Here is a 6,481-nt window from a genome sequence, read left to right as displayed (position 1 = left end):
CCTCACATCAATATTTAACTAACAAGGTTTTCTCTTAGCGTACACAAATATATATTTGATTTCGGTTCTAAACATTATATATATATATATGTGTGTGTATATATATTTATGTATGTATACACACACACATATATATATGAATCCATTTTATTCTGTTTTTTTTTAACTTTTATTAACCATGCCCTCTTGCCAGAAGAGTTTAGAGATCATCAGCATCAAAATTAGTGTATGTTGATGACTATCCCAGCATCCAAAACACAAAAATATGTAAGACCCTATCAGTGCACAAAGTTGTAGGCAGCTATGGGAAAGTGAGCATTTTTTTTTTTTTTTTTTGAGATGGAGTCTCACTCTGTCGCCCAGGCTGGAGTGTAGTGGTATGATCTCCACTCACTGCAACCTCCATCTCCCGGGTTCAAGCAATTCTCTGCCTCAGCCTCCCGAGTAGCTGGGATTGCAGGCACCCACCACCATGCCTGGCTAATTTTTGTCTTTTTAGTAGAGACAGGGTTTCACCATCTTGGCTAGGCTGGTCTTGAATTCCTGACCTCATGATCCACCCACCTCAGCCTCCCAAAGTGCTGGGATTACAGGCATGAGCCACCGTGCCCAGCCCAGAAAGTGAGCATTTTCTTAAATGAGCCTTGATTTCCCTCTTGCATACCAATGTAAAAATACCAATTAGCATCTTTTTTCTGGATCTGTGTTGTGTTTGTGCATATCTGCCTAGTAGCCCTCGTATTCTTTCTCCTCCCTCTCCTAAGAGCGCTTCCTGCTCTTTCCCTAATTGTTGGGCAGTAAGAGAGATGGGCAGATCAATCTAAGTGAGTAAAGCTTGCAGAGAGCAGAAATAGATTTGCTAACTTTGATGATGGCTTCTAGTGACTCCTTACCATACACGTGGCTGGGTCGCCATAAAGCCACCTGAGCCAATCACCTTAAATAAGTTAAAAGATGACATCGAGAGATTTTAAGCAGAGGTGATTTCATTTTTTTCCTCTCACTAGTTATATGGTTAGCTCCTTCATGTGCTGATTTGTTATACCACATAGGGCTGGCTCACAGTCCTTGCCAGCCTTCTGAAATCTTGATAGTTTCAGAAATGCACTGTCTCCTGGGAATGTATAAGAAAGGAGCTGTGAGCTCCTCTCCTTCAAGGACACTCTCTTCAATCCATTATCTCCTGCCTGTGTGCGATAGTCTAGTCTATCAAAACACAGTGATTGAATAAAACTTTTATTTCAGATAATGAATGCATTGATTTAATAAAGGATTTGTACTACATAGTATTATAGTTCCCTAAATGAACACTGAAATCCTAAAATGGGAAAACTTACCATTGGTCCAAGTTAAATCATAGGCACTTCTTTTACTGGAAACCCTAATAAGATAACAACCCATTTGATACTTAAAACAAAAAAATGTGTTATATAAGTACTTAACATTTTCTAGCTATTTTTAAGCCGCCTGTTTTTCCTATCATAAGTACATCTGGCATCAGGCAAACAGATTACAGCCATGGACATCTGACTAATTTATAATATTTTTATATTTTCATATTTTTGGCAGACTAATCCATTAACCTAGCTTTCAAAGATGAATCTTGAAATCTTGCACTCTTGCAACCTTTTTACCTTTTTCTCTTCCAAACCCTAGAATATTTTTGGCAAGTCCTAAAACTTAATTGAAAAACAGAGTCAGGGAGACAGAAATGAACCCTTATGTTCTGTCCATCTAGTGCCCCTTCCAGAGCTAACTTCTAAAAGGAATTATGAATCTGTTGTACACAATGTTGATTTTGAAAGATCTTTGTACTTTCAATCATTCTTCCTTCCTTCAGTTTACTAGGCACATTGGCACTTGTGTTAGCATCCTATTTTGAGAATTGCATTTTGTCTAAATGTAATGGGAGTTTAATAACTTAAGCCTGGCAGGAGAAGAATCAGTTGCTTGCCTTTGCAAAAGACATTTGAAGGTTTGAGCCATAAGGAATGGAAGCAAGACTGTGGTAGCTCTGTTTCCGCATCTTGAGTTAGAGAGGTCAAGTCTACTTATCTCCTCAGAGCTTTTTTTAAATTCTAGATTTAGTGGGTATAAAGACAGTTTTGTTACATGGATATATTGCATAGTGATGAGGTCTGGGCTTTTAGCATAGCCATCATCCGAATAGTGTACCTTGTACATACTAAGCAATTTCTGGTCCCTCACTCTCCTCCCACCCTCCCACCACTCAGAGCATCTTTTTGATCTGGCATCAAAAGGTGAGCCATCCCTCCACTATTTATGGAGGGTTGTTGTTGTTTTTTGTTTTTTGTTTTTTTTTGAGACAGAGTCTCTCTTTGTCGCCCAGGCTGGAGTGCAGTGGTGTGATCTTGGCTCACTGCAACCTCCGCCTCCCAGGTTCAAGCGATTCTCCTGCCTCAGCCTCTTGAGTAGCTGGGACTACAGGCGTGTGCCACCACGCCCAGCTAATTTTTTGTATTTTTAGTAGAGACGGGGTTTCACCGTGTTAGCCAGAATAGTCTCCATCTCCTGACCTTGTGATCCGCCCGCCTCGGCCTCCCAAAGTGCTGGGATTACAGGCGTGAGGCACCGCGCCCGACCTATTTATGGAGAATCTTTTTTTTTTTAACTGTTATCACTACAAATTTTGTTCAGAAACCGATCTTTGTGTTTTTGTTGTTGTTGTTGTTGTTGTTGTTGTTTAAAAAAATCCCCTTATGAACTGGTTTGGTCAATCAACTACAACACTTTCTAGCAGACGTAAGGTAAAAATGGCATGGCTCAGAATCGCCCAGATCTTTCACGATCTCTCAACCGCCTCCTGTCACGCTCCCGTCCGCCGCCGCCGCCTGGGCCACCGCCACCGCCACCGCCACCGCCATCGCCATGACCACGGTCTCCAGACCGAGAATGACGCTCCCGGGATCGGGATCTTGATCTATGCTTCTTGCGACGCTGCCCACACAGCTCCCGCCGCAGCTCTCTGGAAATGGGCTTCAAATGCATGAAGTTGCAGAAGCCGCCTCGTGTGCATTCTCCCATCTCATACTGACGGCAGCAGGCTCCCCTGAAGTCCGTCACAGGTGACAGCTCGGCGTGGATCGGCTGTCCGTTAAACCAACGGTTGTTCAAGTCAATCACAGCCTTTTCCGCATCTTCCTCACGGGGAAGCTTGAAGTACACGTTCCCCACCAGGTGGTCTCCCAGGTTGTCACAGACATTCATCTCCTCAACTTCCCCATACTTCTCCCCCAGTTCTATAAAAACCTCCTCAAAAAATTCATCAGAGTGTTCCTGCACCTCAACATCGCTCAGGGCACAGCGCAAACCGTCGGCCGACTGGGAAGCGTTTTGAGGGTTACAGTAAATGTTCAAGAGGGCAATGGTCTGGCTAAACGTCGGTTTATGGTGCAACCAAGAGCACCTGTCTCCATGAAGACATGCTCCAATTTTGAAATCAAATGAACAGTTGACTTTCTCGGTGCCAAAGATGGAGGCTGGACACTCCGCCATTTCCCACCCGCCGCCGCCCCTGCTGACGCCCGCGGGAGACCTGTGGAGAATCTTAACTGCTGGATTGAATATGTCATATTCTTCCTTTAAAAATCCACCAAAGGCCCCGAAGTAATGGACGTGTTTTTAATCAATCTAATACATAAATCATGCATCAGATATACTTCAAAACAGAGCAGCTAGCAGAACACCTTGAAAGATTCATTAGAATATTTTTTTTTTTTTTACAGACATGCAACTAAGTTAAATAAATGTGTGTCAACTCAAAACTGAGATGAGAAACGGCAGGGTGCTTCATAGATTGAGACTCAAGAACATGGGAATTCTAATCTTGTCTCTGTTACTGACTGGTTTAATGACTTTAGTAATGTTTATGACATATTTCTAACTACTCTTCCTTTGGCCAAAACCCAGAACAACGTGTAATAGAGCATTTTGAGCTTCTAAGAAAATGGCCCTATTTCAGTTGACAGCAGTAAAGCATTGTATTTATAAATGTGGAGTTAGCTTGGATTCAAATCCTGGTCCCACCACAGCTTGCTACTTAACCTCGGGTTAATCCCCTACTGAAGAGCATTAGGTGGTCTTTTGCTATTGTATATAATACTACAATGGGCAACTTTTTACATATACATATATTTATGCATTTAAATAATTTTAAATATGTATATATACACACACACACACACACACACACATATATATATATATATACACACACACACATACCCAAAAGTAGACTTCTTCAATCTAAGATTAGGTAAATTTTATTTTATGTTATTTTATTTTATTTATGTTTATTTCGAGATAGAGTCTCGCTCTGTTGCCCAGGCTGGAGTGCAGCGGCACGAGCTCAGCTCACTGCAACTCCACCTCCAGGGTTCAAGCAATTCTCCCTGCCTCAGCCTTCCGAGTAGCTGGGATTACAGGCACCTGTCACCACGCCTAGCTGATTTTTGTATTTTTTAGTAGAGATGGGCTTTCACCATGTTGGCCAGGATGGTCTTGAACTCCTTACCTCAGGTGATCCACCCACCTAGGCCTCTCAAAATGCTGGGATTACAAGCGTGCACCACCACACCTGGCCAGATTAGGTGAATTTTAAATTTTCATATATATTGCTAAATAGCCCTCCAAAGTCATTATACCAGATTTGTACTCCCACCAGCTGTGTATATAGGTTCCTAGTTCCCTATACCTTTCCCCACACTGTTAACTGGCAATTTTAATGTTTAAAATTTTTCATCAGTCTCAGAGTGGAAAGACAGAATCTCATTTTTTATTTTCTCACCTTTAATTTTAAGTAAAGATTGGCATCTTTCCATATTTTAGTAGCTATTTATTAAGTATAAAGATCCCATTCCCAATTTTCTGTTAGGTATTTTGTCTTTTGCTTATTGGTTTGCAAAGCTCTCAGTTATTAAGATCTTTGTGAAACAGAAGATTTGGAAAGCAATTTTGATTAACTTCAATCATGAAGGATAGTTTATAAATTTGAAAACTTTATTGCACTTGGCATTACTGCCTGAGAAAGAGCAAAACCTCCCCAGACATGAACAGTGAAAATCCTTAGCTATGTATTACCAGAGTTATTACCATAATAATCATTGAAATAATTTATATTATATGTAAAGAAAAATGCAAAGAGGGGCCAGGCACAGTGGCTCACGCCTGTAATCCAAGCACTTTGGGAAGCAGAGGCAGGTGGAGTGCTTCAGTCCAGGAGTTTGAGACCAGCCTGGGCCACATGTTGAAAACCCATCTCTACCAAAAATACAGAAAAATTAGCTGGGCATGGTGGCACACATCTGTAGTCCCAGCTACTCAGGAGGCTGAGTTGGGAGGATCACCTGAGCCCAGGGAGGTTGAGGCTGCAGTGAGCCATGATTGCACCATTGCACTCCAGCCTGGGCAACAGAGTGAGACTCCATCTCAAAAGAAAAGTAAGAAAGAAAAATATCAGTAAATCTAAGATGTGATCCCTGCCTTTAAAAAGTTTATAGTAAAAGACATAGAACACATTCACATGAAATGCTGAGACAACACAAGGAACTAGTGATGCAGGTCATAAACGCTACAGCCTACCTCCAGTTGGAGTGATTAAAGAATGTTACTTAAAAGAAAACACATGTTTGAATAGGCAGAAAGGTTCAGAAGAACAAAGGTATGAATCAAGTGAGAGAGACAGTAAATAGACAAAGGTAAATGGATTAGAGGCTTGTATGGGGGACAGGGGAAAAGTTCAGCCATGGAAAGGTAGATTGGGGTCAAATTACTGAAGGCCTTGGCTGTCTGATTTAGCTTGCATTTTATGGTGAAGGAGCAACAATGTTTTCAAGACTATTGACCTAATAAAATGAGCTTTTAATGATAATTTTGCCATGTGAATAATAAAGGATGAATAAAAAATATTGTGCTGGGAAAGGGAATAACTAATATATTCATACTTTCTATGGGAGAAAATCAACTAGTTTAAAGGAAAAGGAGCATGTATTTTCTTCAATTTATAGTACATAAAGCTTCTATAGAACTGATGCTGTATAATGATGCCAAGAAAATAAGACTGATTCAAACCCAGATTTTTTTTTTGTATATAGTGAACATTTCAATACAGTGCCTTTTTATAAACCTGTGATTCAACTTTCATATTCCTCCACTCACTCATTCTGAAGATCGTAAGCCTTTCCTTGTTGGATCTGGAATTCATACCAATTTTCTTACAGACCTGGAAATTCCAAACATACTATTGTCGTTACACCTCATCTGTCATCCTAGGGAATGCCTTAATTTATTCTTGTAATTTGGAGAAATGAGGTGATGGTAGAAAGAGCTCAGAATAATGGAAAGAAGGTGTTGGCTTCACAGAACTAGCAATTCCTTTCTTAGTTCCTTAGTTCATTTCCTTTACATGTTGGTAAGGGTTAGTTATTAATGGAAGCCCCCTATACTACAACATGCAGCATTC

General features: G+C 40.7%; 1 long non-coding RNA gene and 1 pseudogene across 1 annotated transcript in view; one reads left to right on the top strand and one right to left on the bottom strand.

Moving 5' to 3' along the window:
* LOC105370765 (uncharacterized) overlaps positions 1-6,481 on the top strand; it is a 36,546-nt gene that overhangs the window by 20,360 nt on the left and 9,705 nt on the right. The window lies entirely within an intron of this gene.
* LOC441722 (U2 small nuclear RNA auxiliary factor 1-like 4 pseudogene) lies at positions 2,632-3,556 on the bottom strand (annotated as a pseudogene).

Source organism: Homo sapiens, chromosome 15 (assembly GCF_000001405.40).
Source record: "Homo sapiens chromosome 15, GRCh38.p14 Primary Assembly".
NCBI lineage: Eukaryota > Metazoa > Chordata > Mammalia > Primates > Hominidae > Homo > Homo sapiens.
This window is presented reverse-complemented; position numbering and strand designations above follow the sequence as displayed.